The sequence below is a fragment of the Homo sapiens genome, chromosome 5 (assembly GCF_000001405.40).
Source record: "Homo sapiens chromosome 5, GRCh38.p14 Primary Assembly".
In the NCBI taxonomy this organism is placed as follows: domain Eukaryota; kingdom Metazoa; phylum Chordata; class Mammalia; order Primates; family Hominidae; genus Homo; species Homo sapiens.
In genome coordinates, this window is record NC_000005.10 from 29940340 (window position 1) to 29965216 (window position 24877).

General features: G+C 35.4%; 1 long non-coding RNA gene and 1 pseudogene across 1 annotated transcript; one reads left to right on the top strand and one right to left on the bottom strand.

Moving 5' to 3' along the window:
- Positions 1 to 165: 165 nt before the first annotated feature.
- Positions 166 to 24617, bottom strand: LOC105374705 (uncharacterized). The gene is made up of 4 exons (XR_001742505.1): positions 24501 to 24617; positions 20096 to 20203; positions 17282 to 17397; positions 166 to 253 (listed from the first exon to the last, which is right to left on the bottom strand). It is a non-coding gene; the product is annotated as an uncharacterized LOC105374705 (long non-coding RNA).
- On the top strand, positions 8489 to 8731 carry RN7SKP207 (RN7SK pseudogene 207; annotated as a pseudogene).
- Positions 24618 to 24877: the final 260 nt, after the last annotated feature.

The window sequence follows — 24877 nt, forward strand, 5'->3', positions numbered from 1 at the left end:
ATCTTAACTGCTAATAACATGCTCTTGGCCAGAAGCCTTACCCATAATATAAACAGTTAACACATATTTTGTATGGTTATATGTATTAGATACTGTATTCTTATAATAAAGTAAAAACATGTTATTAAGAAAATCATAAGGAAGAGAAGATATATTTACTATTGATTAGGTGGAAGTGGATCATCATAAAAGTCTTCCTTCTCCTCAGCCTCTTTCATCCTCCTCCTGAGGGGAAGAGTTGGTCTTGCTGTCTCTAGGCAAGGCAGACATAGAAGGGATAGGCAGGAGAGGCAGGAGAAGCAGGATCACTCAATTTATCTTTTATTTAAAAAAAATTGAGTATAAGCAGATTTGTGCAATTCAACTCTGTATTGTTGAAGGGTCAGTTACATATATGTATTGCCAGATGCTGAAAAAGCAGACAGCCATGGCATACTCATCCTTCTAGAAATGTATAATTTATCTGGACAGACAGAAATGCGCCTACATATATTAGTGAGCCAATCAGGTTTTCTCTAAGGGTACAATGACATGTGCAGCCTTCTGCCGTGCCATTGTACAAAACGTTTCTTTCATACTGTACGACATGCTTTTCATCCTTATCAACAGTATTGAATTGCCCTATCATTATGAAATAAAACTTCAAAATATCATTGTAGAATATATTTCTCAAAAACATCAAACCAAATTGGCATTTTAAAAAAGTAGTCATTCTCTCACCAACAAATTAAACTAAATTAATTTAGCTTCATATTCATAGTTGTGATTACAGGAGTGTGGAGGAGGGAAGAAGTGAATTCTAGAATGTATAATCAGGAATAATATGTAACTTGGAATCAAGAGTACAAAAGATGAAACTCTAGCCCTTAGAAGAAATACAGAGAAATCTGAGTTTATTTGGGGACCAAAAATGTAAAATTAAATTCAGTTTAAAAATGTACTGAATGCCTATCGTGTGCCACCTCCACGCTTGTGTTAGTAATTATAAAGGTAAGTCACGACTTCTGATATTGAGGTGTTGACAGCATAGAGGGGAAAAATCACAAATAAAATTTAAAATAAGTTTATTATTTAAATAATATATGACTGTTATGCAAAAGGCTAACAGGACATCCTAGCAGTCTGGAAAAGGTCTTAAGTAGTACTTATGGACTCAGGCTTGAAGGATACATAAAATTTATTCAGGCAAATAAGTGGGAAGGAAGTGTTGGTTAGTGTTAGTAAGAAAAAGGCACGGGAAAGAGAAATCTCTGTGAGGAACTCTTAAATGTTCTGTGTTATCAGAGTACATATTTCCAGAGGGGAGAAAAATAATATGATATTGAAGGGCTGGAGGGGTTTACCATGGGAAGCATATATTGAATTGTGTAATTCTATAAAAATATATAGAATAATAGATAATACTTCAATAAAAGATTGACCTAGGCAACTTTGTGTTTTGTAATTATCATTGCAATTGTTGAAAGCATTTTTAACACAGGCAAAATGAGATAATGAGAAAATATCAGCTACCATTTACAAACATAACTTACCATGAAATCTCTCCTTTTTCTGTTATTAACTTAATTTACATATAAGAGACTGTATATAATTAACTTGCCCAAGGTTATTAGCACAAACAAAACTCATTTCTAGGTTTCTTCTGCTTTCACAAATAGCTTTTGCTCTAAACTCTCTGCCAGACTTTCTCCATGAAGCTAGGAATTAAGTGGGAAATTATGGTAATAATTGAGAGAAATAATAACAACTTGAATTTAGGCATACCTACTATGGATGGAAACAGAATAACAAAACTGAGAAATGTTAAGGACTTAAAATCCTAGTAAAAAGGTCAAGATTCTGGAATGAGTCTGGTTACTGGCCTAAATAATAGAGATGCTAAGTAATGACATTAACGGAAACGAGGAACACAGGGAGAGGAAGTGCTGAGTCACATTTAAGTCATTTTAAAGCTTATCAGATATCCAGGAAGACATATGAAGTAGACTGTAGAACTTGATGGGCATGCGGCTTTAAGAACAACAATAGAAACCTTTTGATGTATCTTTATCTTGTAATTGAATGTTTTCTCAACTCCCTGGACTGTATTGAAACCTGACTGTATGAAGTCCAATAGTGACATCATAATCTTTCCTCCTCTTTCTCATCTCAAGAACACTTCTCTGCTATTTTCTTCAAGGGTCTAGAGTAATGTTTTGCCACTGCTCTCCACTCATAAAAGACTTTGACATATGGCTCATAACCTTCCCCAGAACCCAACCTTCCCTGGCCCCCATCAGTCTAAGTTATTTCACCTTTTATTAAAAATTAAATTATTTAAAAATTGAATAAACTCAAAATTTATTCAAAAATTCACTATGAAGAACATACAATAGATCAGGAATTGTTCTCCTTGAAGCATGGAATATAATGGTCACGACTACAGAAGGTTAGAGTTTATCCAGAGGGTAATTGAAAGCAATTAGGGGCCTTTTAAGAAAAGTTATTGAACATTTTATCAGATTTGCATTTAAGAAAGATCACCCTTTCTGAGGTGTAGAGAATGAATGGAAGGAACCTGCATTACAGAAAAATGGCAGTTTTGAAGAAGTATGGATGTGCTACTAATCTGTGAGTGTGAAGAAATAACTCCGTTGGCTGGAATTATTGAGGAATAGGGGCCTACGGACTATTGTTTTATTTTTATTTTGTGTTATTTACTGTATTAGTTCATTTTCATGGCTGCTACGGAGAAGGACCCAAGACTGGGTAATTTATAAAGAAAAAAAGGTTTAATTGACTCACAGTTCCACATTGCTGAGGCCTCAGAAAACTTACAATCATGGTGGAAGGCAAAAGAGAAGCAGGCACCTGCTTCACAGGGGTGGCAGGATGGAGTGAGTGTGAGCAGGGGAAATGCCAGATGCCTATAAAATCATCAGATCTCAGTGAAACTCACTTCTTGTCATGAGAACAGCATAGGGGAAACAACCCCCATGATCCAGTTACCTCCACCTGGTCCCATCCTTGACACATGGGGATTATAATTCAAGATGAAATTTTGGATGGGGATACAGCCAAACCATATCAGTTGTAGACAAAAAAAACCTACCCATTTTCCCCGCTTAGGAAAATTCTCTACTTACTTCTTACAATACTTAAAAAAAAAATCTTCTACTTAACAGAAACAAAATAAAATATTAAATATGATGTAACTTATGAAGGTATATAGATACTACATGGTGTTTATGTTACACATAACTTTTATTGTAAATACTTTTAGTGTAAATAACTGCCTAGACAAGTAAATTATTCTTGCTAGGTAACCTGCACTAGCCAAACTCATGCCTGCAGAAGACTGACTCCCAATGAATTAAATAAAACAAAATGATGTCGTGGAGCATCTCCAAAGCCAGAGAGAGGATAATGGATAAGTACTCTTGGCCTGCAATGTTCACGAACACAGAGAAATTTCTTTTTTTCTACAAAGCCAAATAGGTTAAAAAGAATTACAAAAAGTGTCACATAGTAGTTGCTGATTATAAATGGAAGAACAGCTTTTAAAATATGTGTGTACTTTACAAAAGCCTACTATATATTAATCGGTGTCTTTAAACATCCATTTACCAGGTAAGTAATCACAGAAGAATGTTTCTGTGTATGTGCTTATTTATCTACACACACACACACACACACACACACACACACACACACACACACGCACCCATGCACGCACATGCGTATTCTACTACATGGTGCAGAGACATTGGGATTTTGAATCCTGTGATTTGGATTCAAGAATTCTTCCATTTACCAAGTTTGGGAATTTACTTAACTAACTTAGTTCATCGGGGAGGGCAACTTTAAACACAAAAACGAAAATTGTATAATGACTCAAGCACAGTAGAACTTTGTCTATTGCTTGTGAAATTGTAATGAGTGGGTGAACATGAATGGGGTAGTCTTCCTCCATTTGGTCATTTAGGTAGCCAGGTGGAAACTAGGCAGCAGCCAAAGCTCTACCAGTTTTAAAATATGGCTTCCTAGGTTTCCTTGGAAGTTCTCTCTGTTTAAACCAGAAGAGAAAAACATAGAAAATGCCATATGCAACACACGTTAACTGGGACTGGAGGTGACACACATCCTCTGTACACATATATTAAAATTTATACTCTGTTGATCCAGTTTAGTCATTTGGACACTATTAGTTATATGGGAAGCTGATAACAGTAGTTAGAAAGCCAACTAAACAAAGCAAATAAACAGATAAATAAAATGTGCATGTGAATGAGCTGTTATTAGTTTCTGCCTCCTTGCCAAGACTACTTTTTTTCATGTGTAAACTTCTCATATTAATTCCTCATACGAATGTTATGAGAATCAAAGTCAACTAATATATCTAAGAGTTTGGCACTTTATAGTTGCCAAATTGTAGTTGTTTTTACTTTTACTTTGTCATCAAATACACAAATAAAGAAGCATCATTTTTCGATGGCTGATAGCAATATATTCCCCACCAGTACATCATGTGCATTGAAAATCCACATTTACAGTCACTGTACATTTATTCTAAAAAATGTTGAAAAAATCATGGGGGTTTTAATTATGAACAATTCACTAATTGTTTTTCAAGGATATTTCTAACTCTCTTACAATGGCAGTGCTTTGGGAAAATTATGAAAGATTTAAGGCTCTGTTTAGTTTGTTTCTATGCTAGAACATCTTCCTTAGATCTTGCCCACGTAGGAGTGGGCAAAATGAATCCAGTCTTCCAAATTTCAGAAGAAGCAGGGGCTTTGTGTCAAATTTATCTTTATGAAGATCTTAAGTTTGAAGACTCATTGCCTTTGGTTCCAGAGAATTACATCATCAGGTTGGCTACTTGGCTATTTTATACGTGTAAAGCTTCTCCACATGAATAATGGAAAAGCAGCCATATCTGATCTAGCTCAAACCAATGAAAATTTGGCTTAATATTTCGTGGGTTTGGTAAACTTGATGAACTTACAACCTCTAAACACAATAACTAAGGTCTTTAGTTAATGGTTATTATAAAGCAGTGTTATCCAGTGCAATCATTTCAAAACAGCCATGAAATGATAATTAATAAAGATTCATATTATAACAAAATATGGAAAAAAACATTTCTGAAGTTAAAAAATTAACAGCTAAAATCCAACTTCTCTACAAAATTCACAGAACCTCTGAAAAGAAGCATTCATTTATAAAAAAAAGAATTTCTTCAATCACTGGGTAATATGTTTTAGGAAGAAAAATACTAGGGCTATTGTGCTTCCCTCTATTTTATCATCAGATTTATGTTTTGTAAGTGAGTCATATTAAGGTTTGAAGAGAACATTAAATTTGGTAGGGCAATTTTGACGGATAATCTAAGTTTTTATATAGTGAGATATAGTCAATGCACATTTGAAATTGCTTCTGCTCATAATTTGTTCAGACAGTTGTACAACTGAACACTTTCAGGTATCTAATATCCAAATTTAAATTAGAGACCATTGAGCAAATGGACTTATGCCAGAAATTGATAAAAATTGATTGAATAAATCATATTTTATAAAATAATTATTTAGGTCTTAGGTTGAACAAATATATATTTTTACAATATCCTTGGAAATGACACTTCATTTCAAACTGTTGAATACACTCCACTACCTCAATTTGAACCTGACATACAAATAGTAATCTCTTATTAGACATTTTTAGTTAGGAAAATAGAAACCAATCTAGATAGATCAAAAAAGGAAGTTTAAATTCAAATATTCGGATACATGTAAAACTGTTGGGAGAGCTGAAGAGATGAAGATAAGGAAAAAATCTCTGCTAGCATCAGAAATAGCATAAAAAAGCCCAAGAGCAAGCTGGTGATGGTTACGATTCTCAACATACTGTGGGAGAGTTTCAGGCAATCACTCAGAAGCCCCTGAAAAATTTCTGAATCTTGATTCTGCTGAATCAAGACACCACCAGAATTGCAACATATGCCTATTGTTTCTCTTGCATTTTTCAAATATTCCATTGGCAAAATATAACCTAGCAACTCTTGCTAGGATTAAATATGCAACCATACTTGTATTATTTTTTTAAAAATATTTTTATTCTATTTGTGAATTCCTGGATGAATGTTAAGCTATATGCTCTACTTTGATATTTCCATTTCCAAAAATAATTGAATATCTACATATCAATTATTTAATAAACAATTCCTTCACAGATATTTGATATGCTGTCAGTTTGATACCTTAAGTAGTTTTAAAAATTGTCCATTTGGATATCTTTGTGAGCCATTTATTCAGATCCATTGTTAAATCTGCAGTTTGTTGATACAAACATACATCATTAAAATTGTTGGAGCAGCCAGGCGCAGTAGCTCCCACTTGTAATCCCAGAACTTTGGGAGGCAGAGGTGGGTGGAACACCTGAGGTCAGGAGTTCGAGACCAGCCTGGCCAACATGGTGAAACCCTGTCTCTACTAAAAATACAAAAAAAAGTAGCTGGGTGTGGTGGCAGGCCCCTGTGATCCCAGGTACTCAGGAGGCTGAGGCAGGAGAATCGCTTGAACCTGGGAGGTGGAGAATGCAGTGAACCGAGATCAAGACACTGTACTCCAGCCTGGGCAACAAGAGCAAAATTCTGTCTCAAAAAAAAAAAAGAAAAATTGTTGTAGCCGCATGATACTTTAGTACATCTCAGGGAAAGTCTCCTTAAAATATTTTTATTCCTATTTCTCCTGTTTCTTTTTCATGAAGATACAGTTTTTTTAAGCTTTTGTTGGAACTTCTATATTTTTTCAAGTTCTCCAATACAATGTATTTTTACTGGGATTATAATTTTATACAATAGCTCTATTTATTGTACGTATTTTAATTAATTGTTATCTTTCTTGTGATCAACCTTATATTTCCTTTTAAGTAAGGCAACTTGAGCTACTTAGTCATATATCTAACAAATTTTATATATTTAAAATATATGGATCAGTGAGTTTTGGAAAATATACAGTCATGTAACACCACCACAATCAAAACATGGAACATTTGAATCACACACACACAAAAATGTTCTACTGTTCTTTGCAGTACGTCCATCGACCCTCTGATTTTTGTCCTCGCAGTATTGCCTATTCTAGAATATAGCAAATGGAATCATATAGCACCTTACCTTTTGTGTTTTGCTTGCTATACTTACCATTACACATTTACTCTCAACATTACAATTTATCACTGAGTATTATATTGTAGAGAAACACCACTCTTTGTTTATCCATTGACAAGCTGAGGCATTTTTTTTTCTCATGTGGCATGTATTAAGTTTATTCTTAGGTATTTTATGTTATGTATTATACTATTGCTACATAATCTCCCTGATGAGAAGAATTTTGTGCATCCTATAGAACATGTTCTGACACATAGTAATCTTTCAAAATGTTGAATAAATCAATGAATGAGTGATCATTGATAATAATGTATTTTTTCTTGTGACCTGCATTTGTTTTGACTCCCTAAAATTAGTGAACTATATAACAAATGTTTATTAATTTTAATAGCTTTTCAGTTAATTCTCTTCCTTTTGCTAGAGAGAACATTCTATATCTTCTTTTTCAATGGCCACATATCTGATGTCTTATTGTATTTTTCAGAACTTAATAATTACTATAATATAAAAGCAAGAAAATGTGTAAAGAGCATACTTTAAATTACAGAGATAAATGATTGATTTAAAAATACTCAAAAACTCAAAATTTTTCATTTTACTTCTATCAGTAATAGGGCAAAATAAAATATATCACAATTCAATAGACAATGTCTCTAACCTTTTACTATTATTTCTCTAATAATTTATGATTCATAGTTAAATATACATTTCATTTTAAATAATCAAAAGTCTATCAGCAGATAAATTGATGATACACTATAATAATTTTTTCCATTTTTAAATGCAATGCCAATTAATTACTGAGAGGTATTTTTTAACTTCACATGTTGAGAAGATTCCCAAGAATACTGTAGTCGTGCTACTTTAAAAAATAAACAAACAAAAATGACAGAGAAAAACGTATATACAATTCTAATCACCATGCCCATGTTTTCATGTTTTAAATAATTACATTTACTCTTCTGTAACATGGTGTCGTCTATTAAATAAATTATTGAACACAGGGTTTGCACACCTTTGGTTTTGATGATAAGAGCAGAAAAATTACAGTACTAGTTGTATATCCTTATACAATAAATCTTTCACTTCATTTGTTTCAAATTTTCATATAAAATTTAATTTAGAATTCAAAGACTGACTTTCATAATTTTATCAAAATAATATAAATGTGTCATAATAAGTTAATACTATAAAATGCAGTCTTCTCATTTATAATCTATTAGTCTCAATAGAGTTAGTTTAATTCTCCTTGAATTCTTGATAGCTGTGTGTTTGCTCTATATATTCTTATGAAAGAATGTGATGTAAAAAGTGATATTAAAAGTGTCCTCTCAGATTGGATGTGAGGGCAATCTGGCTGCAACATCTGTCACCCCATTGATTGCCAGGGTTGATTCGGCTGATCTGGCTGGCTAGACGCATGTCCCCTTCCTCCCTCACTGCTCCATGTGTGTCCTTCATGAAGCTGCACACGCGGTTGAAGAGGACAACCGTCCCCGATAAAGGACTACCGGTCAAGGGTATAGGAGTAGCTGCGCTCCCCTGCTGGAACCTCCAAACAAGCTCTCAAGATGGCAATTTATTAAATAATTTATTCATTCATTTTGTATTATTTTTAAACCATTTATATTGAAATAATTATAGTGAGAATCAGGTTTGCTAATTACCAGTCTCAAAGGAGGACTTCCAATGCATAGAGGATAGCAAATGTCATCCACCAGGAATAGCAGTTCTAACACTTCTGCCCACTGCATCTTGGGCTCCGGTTTCAACAATTGCCTGAATCCGATGTGAGAGAACACACTTACATGCAGCAAGTTATATGAATTTAGGTTTATTTCTTACAGATAGGCAGCAAGAGACAAAAAAAATCCTAGACTCCATTGTGAGTCAGTCCCCTCAGGCTGGAAAAAGCTGTTCAGAGTGGATGGAGTCTTGACTGAGCATGACCCCCTTTGAGTGAAAGGCAGCCTGCCTTTCAAGTATATAACCCAGGTTATATACTTCAGGGGCGGTGTGACTCGCTGGACAAAGCTTCGAAGCGCATCTTGCTTTCAGGGGAAACAGAAGGAAAGCCCAGGATGTCCCAGGTAGTTCCTCTGTGATTCATGATGCTACATTTCCTAAGCGAGACTGGAACAAGGCCTTGACTGTTTCATGCAGTTCCTCCCTATCTCAAGGTATTGCATTCCTCACACATTCTATGGTAATTCTGAGAGCTACAAGCAGGTAGACAGGGGAAAACAGGATCATTCCAAGCCACCTGGGGAACTCTCCCATATATAGGTTCATAGGAAAGTGAAAAAGACTCCAGAGCAGTCTCGTATCCTCCTCTCCCAATTTCCCCCAATGGTAATTCCACGCATAACATGCAGTATAGTATCAAAACCAGGAAGCTGACAATCATCAATTGGAATAATCTATACTCTCATTTATGTATGTGTGTGTGTGCATGTGTGTCTCTGTGTGCATGTAGTTCTATTAATATTTACCACACTTAAAGATTAATATAATCACAACCACAATCAAGATACAAAACTGTGCTATCACTACCAAGAAATTTCCTAGTACTAGCCTTTTAAAATTGTACCTACCCAGCCCCCCACCTCCATAATTCCCTGCAATCATTAATCTATTCTTGATCTCTACAGTTTGGTCATTTTGAGAATGTTATGTAAAAGGAATCATTTGGTATGCAAACTTTTAAGGATTTTGTTTTTTTCTCATTCAGCCTAATACCCCAGGGATTCATCAAACCAGGTTCTTGAGTATACTAATAGTTCATTTTTTTTTTTTTTTTTTTTAATGAGGGACCTGGGATCCCAATCAGAAAGGAAGCTTGGACCATGATGTAACTCAAATTCTGGGTATCACATGAATAAAATGCTATTTTATTTTTAAAGTTTGCTAGCCGTCTTAGAAATTATGAAGTATATACCTTTTATTTAAAATATACAAATCTTCAGTGTTTCAGTAACCAAAAATTTAGTTCATTTTCAGACCTGTACACATCTCATAGTTTATATCGATTTTCTTTTAAAATGCTTACTTTGTTGGGAAACCAAATCAGTTCTCATAAAAACAGCAGCTGCTTTTTAAAAGCCATGCTTCATGATGTCCAAAGTAATTCCCCTGGGACCATCTAAATGCATATGGCTAGGAGGAAGATCAGCCTGTATTTAATATTTATATTGGATGCCAGTTCAGATTACCGTTGACTCTTGTGAAAGCTGATGCAGAAATTTTAATTCTAAAAATTCCTCACCTTTTTGATAGCTGGCATGTGTTTTATTCTTTAAAAAAAAAACATTACTTTGAAAATAGCTATCATTAATTAAAAACAAACTCTGTACATTAAATCCAACTTCTAAAATGTCATTGCAGTTCTTTGGATGTCTTTAGGGCAAAATATTTCCACCACAAGAGAAATGTGATTGTCATAAGGCTTCCTGCTTTGAAAGAGTCACTTCTTCAACAAGAAAACATCTGGGCTTGCTGATCAAAATATACAAGGAGCCCAGTTTTACCCAGTATGGTAAGTAGCCTACAAGATGGCCCCTGATGATCTTGTCCCAGTGTTATCACCTTTTTTTATTGTAACTAGATTGTTGAACCTTGCTATAGTTTGAATTTTTTTTTTCTTTCCTAAACTCATGCTGACATTCAGTCGCCATTGTAAGTTACAGTACTAAGAGTTGGGACCTCTAAGAAATGAATAGACCATTATGCTGTACACTTCTGAATGGATTAATGCTGTTATTATAAAAGTGGGTTCGTTATAAAAAGACAGGTTGGCCCCCCTTGTCTCTCTCTCTCTCTTTTTTACCTTCTTGCATGTACCCTCCAAAGATACCAGCTCCTTAATCTTGGATTTCCTAGCCTCCAGAATTGTGAGGACATAAATTTCTGTTCATCAGAAATTGCCCCATCTGTAATATTTTGTGATAGTAGCACCAAATGGACTAAGACAGGCCATGTGACTAACAGCACAAGCAAGAAGTCATGATACGTCATGTCAGAGCTTAGGTTATAAAGACTGAAGCTTCTGTTTGGGACTTTCTTTTTCTGTTCTCTCGCTCGCAAGTGCACACTCTCACTCTCTCTCTCTCGCTCTTTCTTTTCTGTCATCAGTCACCCTGTGGGAAACCAGCATACATACCATGAGGATATTCAGAGATCCTATATAAAGGCTCATGTGGCAAAAACTGAGGTCTGCAGCCAAAAGCCAGTGAGAAGTTAAATCTTGCCAACAACCATATGAATGCTTGGAATCAGCTATTCAAGGTCTAACTGACCATTTGAATGCAACATCATGGGAGTCCCTGAGCCAGAAACATGCAGCTAGCTGCTCCCATATTCTTGACCCACAGGAACCGTGAGATAATAGATATTTATAGCTTTAAGTCTCAAATTTCAGCAATAATTTATTATGCAGCAATAACTGGTACATAACTCATATGTAGTGAATGCAGATTTTTTTGTAATAGAAGTGGAATGCCCATATAGCCGCACCATAGCAGTGACTTTAGAAATGGCTGTTCGCAGGAGCTAAACAAAACTGTAAGGATTCTAAGGAAATACGCGATAAAAGGTTGAGCCTTGAACACATCATTCATAGAATTTGGGACTTTGGAGAGGTACTGGTGAGCCTTTAATAGAAGGCAAACATTCTTATAGGGAACTATAAAAAAAAAAAGAGATCCACGTTAATAAGTGGCAGAACATTCAACAACCCTGTTGTCTGTAGTAATGTGAAAGGTAGAAAATGTACCTAAAAGACTAAATGATTTAGCTAAGGAAATCTCCAACAATAATGTTGAAAGTCTGTCTTTTTTCCTTCTTGCCACTTATAGTAAAATATAACAAGACAGTAATAAGTTAAAAGCATAGCTGCTAAGCTAAAAGTAGCTAGGTCTTGCTTGTATTAAAGATTTGCAGTCTCTCCAAATGGCAAACAACGTTAAAATTAAGAAATGGTTTCCAATCAGAAATTACATTCAGGGTACTCACTCTAAAGCATGATCTGAAGGTGGAGCTGAGGTTATGACTAAAATCCTCTAAAACCTCAGAAATATCAAAGATGGTATCTCTAAGCACTATTTAGTCAGACAAAATGCTATCTAAAGAAGTTTCAGGTATACCTAAAACATTGTTTTCAACAATTGAAATTGAAGTTGTTGTAATGTTATTTTGAATAGTTAATAAGAAAGAACCATGAAAAACTTCCAAGTGGTTTTAATTTGTCTTGATACTCTAAAATACCATCTATTTAAAAATTTCCAACAAAAACCAAGATATACCCTTGCACATTTAGCTGTGAGCCCAAAATCTAGAACCCAGTCAGTTCTCACTACATCTTCAACTAACACAATGGATACTTACCGGGTTTAATAGCCACTAACTTGTCTCCCTTCTTCTTTCCTCTTCCATCATTCCTACCTCAAATCTATTCACGGTAATTTTGTGATTTTGTTCTAAAAAATTACCTAGATAATATCATTCCTTTACTTAAAACCCTGCAATTACCCCCATTGCACTCATAATAAAAGCCCCATATCTAAAAATAGCCTAGAGTCTCTGAATAGTATGGTCCTGGTACCCCTTGATCTTACCATCAATTGTTATTTTAGACATCAAGGAGAACATATATCCAACTAGAAATTTAGTGGAGACATCAATTTGCTTAAAAAAATCCAGAGCAATTAAATGAAATAACCAGAGAAGTAAAATAATCAGGAAGAATATGTTGAAAAAGAAGATAGGCAAAGGAAATCTAAAAATAGTCTATTGTGTACCTCTTATTGGGTGGTCCCACTTCTCCTAAACTCACAACCGTTTACAAACATATACACTAAGCTTTCTATTTGGTTCTCAGTGTCCAATTCTATAATATACATGAACAAACATGAATAGTCACACACTTAATAAAAGTCTCCATTCGTAAAGACAGTTGCCAAAATAATAATAATAATAATAAAATATATGAAAAATACAAACAGAAGATAGTGGGAGAGAGAAAGAGAGAAGAAACTGAGTAATGAATTAACTTTTAACTGTAGTAAAAATTTGAAATTTTATGAGAAAAGAAATACTAGCTGACTCAGAAGTCGTCAAAGGAAAACTTAAGCACATTTAAATGTTAGAGTTTATTTGATCATTCAGCAATTCATTAATGGGACAGCACTAAACCACAAGTGGCCAGCACTCAGCTGAGAGGGTTAAGAAGGAAACTTTCAAAAAGTGATTGCAGAACCAAGATGAAGAAAACAAATTTGTTTGGTTAGAATGAAAAATTCCTACAAGCAAGTTGGTGGTTTCTGACTGTTTAAATTTTTTACTTTCAATTTACCACTTACATTGGGCATTGGTTTGTTTCTGTAGAACTTTAAAGTGGCAGAGCCACTCCTGTGTAATGACCCTCCAATAAGAATCTGTTTATTAACAAACATTAAAAATATTAACATAGTTATAACAATGTAAATAATTATAATGATTTAATCTGAAATAATGTGAAATTGTGGCATTGTTGTGAGAAAGTTGGGGTTTGAGAGCAAAATTTTTAATTACCATGAAATAAATCAACAGATGGGGTTTTGCCATGTTGGCCAGGCTGGTCTCAAACTATTGACCTCAGGTGATCTGCCTGCCTTGGCCTCCCAAACTGCTGGGATTATAGGAGTGAGCCACTGCACCAGGCCTGTTTTCCTTTTTTTTTTTTTTTTTTTTTTTTTTTTGAGACGGAGTTTCACTCTTATTGCCCAGGCCAGAGTGCAGTGGCACCGTCTTGGCTCATCGCAACCTTTGCCTCCAAACACCAAACAACAGTAGTATTTAATTAAATAAATATAACTAAATAAATAATAGAATGTAACTAAAAAATTGAAAATAATTTCCTCTGGAAAGAACTCAAAAATCAAAGTTGGTGGGACAAAAGAGAATTTTCAAGTTATTTGCTTTTTAGTATTTTTGTTTTTTTACAGTTTAGCTGCTTGTATTTTTTAATCTGGTAAAAAAATGAAATTTATTTTGGAAAAATGACATATCTTTTGAAGACTAAGCAGAAACAATTTCTAATATACTAGATGTTATACACTTACATGCCAAAAAATGATTGCTACCATGTTAACAGCAACTCTCAAAAATTTCCATTTTATTGGAATACTTATTGGATATATTATATACTCTATATTTTCTGCCCTTTTCTTGAATGTTCAATGGATATGCAATTGTATAATTTTTTATGAATAGTTTATGAGCCAATTTTCATTTATTATCTCATCATAATGGAATAAGCTTAAAAATATGAAGCTACTCTAATCACATTATCTAAACATTATAACATATTACAGCAGTTCATCTATATTAGTTACACTTTTTAGCATCAAATTAAATATAAATGACTTCATGAGTGAATGGAACCAATAAGGACACAAGAAGAAGACTGGCTCAGTGTTACAGACATATCCCAGTTGGGATTTCTTAAAAACAATTAATACTTTTAGATGTTTTATTTGAAATTGATGACAAATTGTGCATTTTTAGTGATGTTTTAAGAATTTTTGGGAAAGGAAAATAGAAAATGATCCCAAATAATCTGTACTTTTTTTTTGTTTTTTTTTTAAAGATTTTTAATAGAAAAAAGTGAACTATAAAATCTGTTTTTACATCTTTCAGTGACTCACTAAAAAAAAGTACTGTGATTTAAAATATCTCTAAAACACGATGAAGAGAGTCAGATTAAGCCACATATATTTTGGATTCTTCATATTAATGACTCTTAAATGTAGGCATATACATGCTATTCATTTTAAAATGAGAATACATGTAATTTCCTTAAAGGATAGACTGTAGGCTTGATAAGTACCTGAAAAATAGAGATATTCATGTAATAGCAACAATGTATTACCAAGTGCACAGGAATTTGCTGAGATTGTGACCAGTTACTTGTGCCTGCTGGGGAGATAAGTACATACCTAGGGTTTCCAAAAGTGCTACAAGAGTCCAAAAGCTATAAGGAAAAGCCAAGCCAGCTTAGCAAACTGCCCGATGGAAGCACCTTGCTAGGCAGATGGCATTATTGGAAGGAACTAACTCTGTGGGGACTAAACTGAAAGCTTGGACGTTTGATATGGAGTCTTCTACTGAGAACTGTGTTGCATTTCTTGCTTTGTATATTCCTCTTTGTGCTGAGCTGTATTCTTTGTCTTCTTTGCTGTTATCTTTATATAAATCACAGTCACACTTGGTACACCATGTACATTTATGACTAAAGTAGAATCAGTGCAATCTTCTCAGGACCTAAGAATCATGGTGAGTGGCCATAAATGTTAGAAATGGAAGATTTCTGGAATGACAGACATATCACACTTGTTCCAGAATGTAAGCTGTCTTATTCTGCTCCGGCTACTATAAGAAACTCCACAGAATATGTGCCATTCACAATAGAAATTTTTTTCTACAGTTCTGAAGACTGGAAAGTCCAATATCCAGGTGCCAGCCAGTTTAGTTCTTAGTGAGCAGCTCTCTTCCTGGCTTGTAGACGGTTGCTTTCTCCTGTATCCTCATGTGGCCTTTCCTTCCTGTGTGCGCGCAGAGAGGGATCTCCCTCTCTATTTCGTCTTATTTGGCCTCTCAATTTATTACATTAGAACGTCTACCTTTATGAGCTCATTTAACTTTACCTCTTAAAAGCTCTATCTCTAAATATAGTCACATCAGAAATTAAACTTTCATCATAATAATTTTGGGTGACACAATAGCCCATGGCACAAACCTCTGAGTTTGGTAATGAAAAAAAAAAAAAGGCACACTCTCAAGTGGCAGTCATATATTTCCATAGATGGGATGAAGTAAATTGAAACCAATGAAGGATGAAGGCATTAGAACTCTGCACCAAACTGTCTAAGGAAGACACAAATAGGGTGGTATTGTTGGTTATGGTGCAATGTCCCACAACCACTGAGAGTTTCCAGGATATTGGTAATTGGCAGCTAGCAACTTTCTAGGAGAAGTAGCAGTATCAGTTTTAAAAGTGGAATGGATTAGTCTTGTAGATGGAATATGTTATAATATTACTACACCAACTCCTTCTATAGAAGTATTCAGAAAAACAGGAACTATAAAAGATAGAAAATAAAGAGATAACTAAAACTTTAAATGCAGGAAGGGGTAATGATAATACTAATAAAGTTATGTCTTTTTATTCTTAAAATAATGTAATAAGAAATCTGCTTACAAATTAATGTTTGAAAATTTGTGTTTTTAATAAGCACCCCTTCCTTGGGGCATTATTGATTCTACACTTTGTGATTTGTGCAATCTAATAATATTTTAGTGATGTATATAGTATAAAGTTCAGATGTACAAGAGACTACTGAAAAAAAACAATAAAAATTATTTAATGCAGAAATGAAGCATCATTAGCAAATGTACAAAAAGCTATCTATTTCTTCTTAAAAGACAAATGAGTACCGTATGGCTGAGCATATAATGTCCCAAGTATAAATGTTTTAGTTAAATGTGCCTTCAAAATTTTGAAAATATCACATTATTTTAATTTCCTGAGTACCTAGATTTTTGAAATTAACCTACATGTTATCATAATTACTTATCACCAATATGATTCTTTTCAAGGTGAACTTCTAAGATATAAGAAGAGAGGGACTGGTGTTGTACATACATAGTAAAATATTATAAACATATTTATATGAAAGGTTTCACAAAAAGGAAACTACGGGCAATGTAGGAAGAATTAGATGGACATACCTGAATAATAAGAATCAATATACCTGTGATAGGTATGTCTAAGGTCCCCCCTATTGATGTTCACAGCCTGGTATTTATAGCCTAATAATGATTCTTTCTCTTTGAATAGCTTTCTTCTACCAAACAGTATACCTCAATGTGTAGTAAAATGTCACTTAGACATTAGATTATAAGAGACTGACTTTTGCTTGCTAGCATACATTCTCTCTTTCTGGCTTTCATTAAAAAGTTGCCATTTGAGGAAGTCCATATGACAAGAAACTGAGGGTAGTCTCAGGCCTTCAGTCAGTTTGAAACTGATGCCCTCAGTCCAAGTACTCAAAAAGAACCCAAACTATGTAAATGACCTTGGAAGTAAGTTCTCACCTGTGGAGCCTTCAGATGAGACTCCATCTCTTGATGACACCTTGATTGCAGCCTCATGAAAGACACTAAATTGGAGGTCCCAGCTAAGCTGCCACTGGATTTCTGACTGACAGAAACTGTGAGAAATGAATTTATGCTATTTTAAGCCAGCAGGATTGTGGTAATCTGTTACATAGCAACAGATAACTAATAAAATATCTTTCTTAACCAAGGCTATATCAAGGCAAAAATTCAATAAAAATATCGAAAGCATAAACAATACAATGAAAAAGTCTATCTCGTGGATAGTGTATTTCTGTTTATGTCAAATTGACCAGGCTACGGTTCCTAGTTATTCAATCAAATGCTAGTATAGGTATAGGTATTGCTATGAATGTATTTTATTAAGGTGATTAAAGTCCATAATCAGTTGGCTTTAAATAAGAGCAATTATCTTATATATTCTGTATGTCTTAATGTAATCCATTGAAGAACCTCAAGAGCAAATTTGAGGCTTTCCTGAAGAAGATATTCTGTCTGTGAATAGCAGCTTTAACTTGCGGCACAGAGAATTTTAGTTTGCCCTCCCAGCAGCCTGTCAAACACTTTTAGACTTCCTGAGCCATCCCACATAATCATATAAATCCGTTCCTTGCATTAAATTTCTTAGACTATATCTCCAATTGGTTATGTTTCTCTGGTAGAAAGCTAACAGATTTAGACTTTTGTACTGAAGGTGGTTTTGAAAGAACAGAATTTTAAGAATGTGCTTTCCAAATTAGTTATGAGTTTCCTGAAATTGGTTCTCTAATCTAGTTAAATTTCTAGGCGTTAATGAGTTTATTTCTAGTGGTAAAGACAGCAGAGGTAGATCATGGCATGATCTAATAACAGAGATATGTAAAATGTCACCAATGTTTATCCCTAATTAAATGCCTGTAGACATCGAAGTTTTTGACTATTTATTTGATATCTAGAACATTTGAGTCTAATTAAGGAGTATAATAGGTTTGTCTGGTTGCTGGAAACTGCTCTGGAAAAGTGAAGAAAGGAAATAATTGCTCAGGCCTTCCAAGTTCCAGCTCAAGCTCTATAGTGATGACATGAATGCATCTAAACATGCTCCTAAAGAAATCCATGTTATCTCCTGCAGTCATAAAGACAAAATATCTGAAAACCAATCTCACAGTTATCCCTCAAATGGCCAATAGAGGTAGTCAATAAACTTCTTTATCAATAATAATAATATTGATGAAAATCAGTAATAGCAAAACAACCTCCTTTCCAGATACAAAAATTTGCCAAATCTATCAAAATAATAGTAACAAATAATTAAATATAAGTAATTAATACATGTAATTATTTTAAATACCCATAGGGTTCAACTAAAATAGTACTTACGGATAACTTTATTACACCAAATACATACATTAATGGAAAAAGAGAAATTATACATTAAAGTAAAATTCACTACAGAAAAAGTAAATCAAAAATGAAAAGGATGCAGGAAATAACATGCATATAAACAGAAACTAGTAAATTGTGACAGAAAATATACTGGAACTAAATAAAAGCTAATTCTTTACAAAAAACAATAAAGTAGTATAATTTAAAGGGAAGATGGAGGGGTGGAGCAAGATGGCTGAATAGAAGGCTCCACTGATCATCCTCCCAATGAGGACACCAGTTTATTATCTACACACACACACACAAAAGCACCTTAATAAAACCCCCAAATCATGTGAACATTCACAATACCTGGTATCAACCTTATATCACTGGAAGAAGCACTGAGGAGGGTAAAAAACAGTCTTGAATCACAAATGTCACCTTTTCACCACCCCAGCACTGGCATCATGGCACAAAGAGAGAATCTGTCAACTTGGCAGAGTGAGAAGTTAGCAATTACGAGACACTGCATTGAACTCAGAGCTGCCTGTCATAGCAGAAAGCAAAACCAGGTTGAACTCAGCTGCCTCTCACAGAAGAAGTTTAAACCAGCCCTAGCCAGAGAAGAATCGCCCTTCTTAGTAGTCGGAACTTTAGTTCTGGCAAACCTCACCACCATGTGCTCTGAGCTCTAAATAAACTTGAAAGGCAATGTAGACCACGATGACTGCAACTGCTAGATTAGTCCTAGTGCTGAACTGGTCTCAGAGCCAGTGAACTGGGAGGACACGTGAACTATTGAGGCAACAGCCGGAGCAGCAAAAGGAGAGCTTCTGCCAGCCCTCCCCCAGACCCAGGCTGCACAGCTTGCAGCTGCAAAGGGGGCCCCTTCCTTTTGTTTGAGGAGAGTAGGGAGGACTTTTTCTTGCATCTTGGGTACCAGCTCAGGCACAGTAGGATAGGGCACCAGTCAGAGTCGTGAGGCTCCCCTTCCAGACTCTAGCTCCCAGACAACATTTCTAGACACACACTGGGTCAGAAGGGAATGCACTGCCTTACAGGGAAGGACCCAGTCTCAGCATGATCCATCAGCTGCTGACTAATAAGCCCTTGGGATCTGAATAACCAGCAGTGATACCCAGGTAGTACATTGTAGGCCTTGGGTGAGACTCTGAGACTAGCTGATTTAGGTGAGACTCAGCATGTTCCCAGCTGTGATGTCTATGGGGAAAGACTCCTTTTGCTTGAGAATATTGGAGGGAAAACTAAAGGGGACTTTGTTTTGCACCTAAGGTACCAGCTCAGCTTAAGGTGGATAGAGCAGCAAGCAGGCTCATGAGTTCCCAATTCCAGGCCTTGGCTCTTAGAAAGGATTTCTGGACCTGCCCTGGGCCAGAGAGGAACCCACTACCCTGAAGGTTAAGTCTCAGACAGGGAAGTATTCACCACAAGCTGACTGAAGAGCCTTTGAGCTTTGAAGGGTCATTGGCGGTAGCCTGGAAGTACTCCTCCTAAGCCTGTGCTTCTGGTGGCCACAGGGTGACGCTCCTCTGCCTGTGGAAAGGGGAAGGAAGAGTGAGAAGGACTGTCTCATAGTGCCAGTTCAGGTGGAGTACAATAGAACATTATGTAGACTTCCATGGTTTTTGACCCTAGTCCCTGGCTCCCAAATGGAAGCTCCAGACCTGCTTGGAGCCTGAGGGATCTTGCTGCCCTAAAGTGAAGGACACAAGCCCAACTGGATTTGCTACCTGGTGATTGGAGAGTCCCAGGGTCTTGCGCAAACATAGGTGGTAGTCACATAGTGATTAGAGAGGGCATTGGGCAAGAACCTGTGCTTTGCTGGCCTTGGGTATGACCCAGAACATTTCAAGTGGTGGTGGCCACAGAGGGGCTTGTGTCACTCCAGGCCATTTAGAACAGAGAGAGAAGGACTTCCTGTGTAATAAAGCAAAAAAAGGTATAGTAGTATCTGGCTGGTAATACAGAGAACCCTTCTGGATATTATCCAAGACAATCAAGGAGGTTTACAAGTCTGCAAGGGTTATTGAACTTGGAGTGCCTCCCAATGCAGATAAGGCCTAGATCACAACATACAAGTTTTTCTGAATACCTAGAAAGCCTTCTCAAGAAATTTGGGTAAAAATAAGAATAAACTGAGAAGACTACAGTAAGTACCTAATTCTTCAATGCCCAGACAGAGATAATATTCACAAACATCAATATCCTCCAGGAAAACATGACATCTCCAAATGAACTCAATAAGGCACCACGGACCAAACCTGGAGAAACAGAGATATGTGACCTTTCAGGCAGAGAATGCAAAATAGCTATCTTGAGGAAACTCAAAGAAATTCAAGATAATATAGAGAAGGAATTAAGAGATCTATCAGATAAACTTAACAAAGAAATGAAAATAATTAGAAAGAATCAAGCAGGAATTCTAGAGTTTAAACATGTAATTGACACACTGAAGAATGCATGAGATTCTTTTCGTAGCAGAATTATTAAGCATGAGAATTAGTGGGCTTGAAGACAGGCTATTTGAGAATACAGTCAAAGGAGATAAAGGAAGAAAGAATCAAAAACAAAGAAGCATGCCTACAGAATCCAGAAAAGAGTTTCAAAAGGGCAAATTTAAGAGTAATTGGCCTTAAAGAGGAGGTAGAGGAGACAGGAGTAAAAAATTTAATCAAAGGGTAATAGCAGAGAACTTCACAAATCTGGAGAAATATATCAATATTGAAATACAGGAAAGTTATAGAACACCAAGGAGAATTAACCCAAAGCAGACTACATCAAAGCATTTGATAATGAAACTCCCAAAACTCAAGTATAAAGAAAGGATCTTAGAAGAAGCAAGAAAAAAGAAACAAATAACATTCAATGGATCTCTAATACATCTGGCAGCCACCTTTTCAGTGGAACCCTTACAGGCCAGAAGGGGTACCTTATATGACATATATAAAGTACTCAAAAAAAACCTTTTACCCTAGAGTAGTATATCTGGCAAAAATTTCCTTCAGATGTGAGGAAAAACAACAACAACAACAACAACAACAACAACAACAAAACACTATCCCAGGTAAACAAAGCTGAGGAATTTCATCTCAGCCACTTTACCAGCTGGGGACCTCCATAGCTGGTGATTCTCCCTCACCACCTAGGCCTCATTTGTGCCTGGGCCTTCCACTCTAGGCACCCCACCAACTTGGCCTGACTGTATTATACCTTGTACCCATATTCAGTGGTTCCTGAACTCTTGTCCTGAGACCAAAAAGAATGATACACTGACAATTTGAATAATGAGGAGGGCAGGGAAGAATTTTATTGAGTGACAGATCAACTATCAGTGAACAGAGAATGCAGGGATGGTACCCCCAATCCCTTCAGTCAGGTGGTTTTTCTCTCAGCGTGTCTGGGTCCGGGGCTTTTATGGGCACATAATAGGGGAGTGCATGCTAATTGGTTTGTAAGTAGGCACAAAAGGTTAAAGCAAATACACTACTCAGAGATGGGCACAACAGTGTAGAAAACCAATTAGAAAAGGGTAGGTATATGTAAAATAGGTGAAGAGTGGGGATGAATCAGAGAAAAGTGTGCCAAACAGGAAGACAGGTTCTCAATCCAGTCTATGGATTTGACTGGTAGCTTGGCTTTCAGGCTTCAAACTGTCTTTAGCTTGGAGGTAAGGATTCCACCGGGGACCCATCCATATCTGCCTAGGCATTTGCCTGTCTCCTCCACTATCAGTATGTATGGCAAAAATGTCCTTCAGATGCAAAGGAGAAATAAAGACTACCCCAGACAAACAAAGCTGAGGGATTTCATTAACACTAGACCTGCCCTATAAGAAATAATAAAGAGAGTACTACAAACAGAAAGAAAAGGATGGTAATGAGCAATAAGAAATCATTGAAGGTACAGAAGTCACTGGTACTAGTAAGCACACAGAAAAACTCAGAGTAGTATAACACTGTAACTGTGATATGTAAGCTATTCTTATCTTAATTAGAAAGACTAAACAATGAACCAATCAAAAGTAATAACTACAACAACTTTTCAAGATATAAACAGTACAATATAAATAGAAACAATATAATGTTAAAAGTCAGGGGAAAAATTAAAGTATAGTGCTTTTATTAGTTTTCTCTCTGCTTCTTTGTTTGTTTGCTTCTTTTTAAAAACATTGTTAAGTTGTTATCATCTTAAAATAATGGGGCCAGGTGCTGTGGCTCATCCTTATAATCCCAGCACTTTGGGAGGCTGAGGTGGGCAGATTGCTTGAGGTCAGGAGTTTGAGACCAGCCCAGCCAACATGGCAAAACCCCATCTGTACTAAAAATGTACAACAATTATAATGAGCCAGACATGGTGTCATGCACCTGTAATTGCAGCCACTCAGATGTCTGGGGCACGAGAATTGCTTGATCCTGGCAGGGAGAGGTTGCAGAGTCGAGATCACACCACTGCACTCCAGCCTGGGTGACAGAGCAAGACTCTGTCTCAAAATAAATAGATAAGTACATACATACATACATAATAAAATAAAATAATGGGTTATAAGACATTACTTGCAAGCCACATAGTAACCTGAAATCAAAACACACAAAACAAGTACACCAAAAATAAAAAGATATTGAATCATACCACCAGAGAAAATCACTTTTACTGAAAGAAAGCAAAGAAAGAAGAGAAGACCACAATCCATCAGAAGACACATAACAAAATGGCAGGAGTACGTCCTTACTCTCTAATCAAAAGACATACAGTAACCAAGTGGGTGAAAAAAAAAAACAAAAAAAACCCAATGATCTGTTGCCTACAAGAAACAAGCCTTACCTCTAAAGATATACATAGGCTGAAAATACAGAGGTTGAAAAAAAATGTTTCATGCCAATGGGAACCAAAAAAGGCAGCAGTAGCTATACTTATACCAGACAAAAATAGATAGCAAAGCAAAAACGATAGGAAGATAAAAAGAAGATAACTATATAATGATAGACAGGTTAATTCAGCAAGAGGATACAACAATTTTAAATATATGTGCATTTAACAGTGGCACACCCAGATATATAAAAGAAATATTATTAGAGATAAAAAGAGAGATAGATTCCAATACAATAACAGCTGCAAACTTCAATGCTTCATTTTCAGCACTGGACAGCTCTTCCAAGTGGAAAATAAAAAAAACCTCGGAGTTAATCTGCGCTATAGACTGAGTGGAGCTAATAGATATTTACAGAACATTATCCAACGGCCACAAAATACACATTTATTTTCTCAACACATAGATCATTTTCAAGGACAGACCAACTATATGTTAGTTCACAAAGCAAGTATTAAGACATTCAAATAAATTAAAATAATATCAAGCATCTTCTCTGACTACAAAGGAATAAACTAGAAACCAATAACAAGACAAATTTTGGAAACTACAAAAATACCTGGAAGTTAATCAATATACTCCCATATGACCAGTGGGTTAACAATGTATAAGGAACTCAAACAAATCTATAGGAAAAAATCTAATAATCTGTTTTAAAAATGGGCAGAGAAGTGATGATACCCCAGTTACTATGATGTGATAATTACACACTGCTTGCCTCTATCAAAATATCTCATGTAACCCCAAAACATATACACCTACCATGTACCCACAAAAATTTAACAAAAGGAAAGAAAGTTGCACAATTACACAAAAAAAATGACAAATGATGAAGTGTATGCATTGAAACAATGAAAATTTAAAAAATATATGAAGAGCTAGTTTGTATACATCTAAAACTATTTTGAAATACACTAGCTAAAAATAAATGTCATGGATAGTTCTATAAAAAATATAACTTACCCAAACCAAAAAAGAAGAAAATTCTAAATAAATCCATTTCCATAGAGAAGCATACGAAAATATCACTGCTTTCTTACAAATAATAGGAACAGCTCAGGATGGTCTCACATCTGCATAAAAAATTTTCTAAACATTCTAACAATATGTTAGAATGTTTAGAAATATGTGAACAATATGTTAGAATGTTAACAATATGTTAGAATGTCAGATAACAAACTCCAAGACTCCATTAACTCATTTAACTTTCCAGGGTAGAAAACAGGGGTAAAGTATTCAAATTATTTTTTTGTGAAATACCAATAACATTGGTATAAATTACAAGCAATGTTACATAATAGGACAAATATGTATAAGGCCAACGCTATTTTTGTATATTC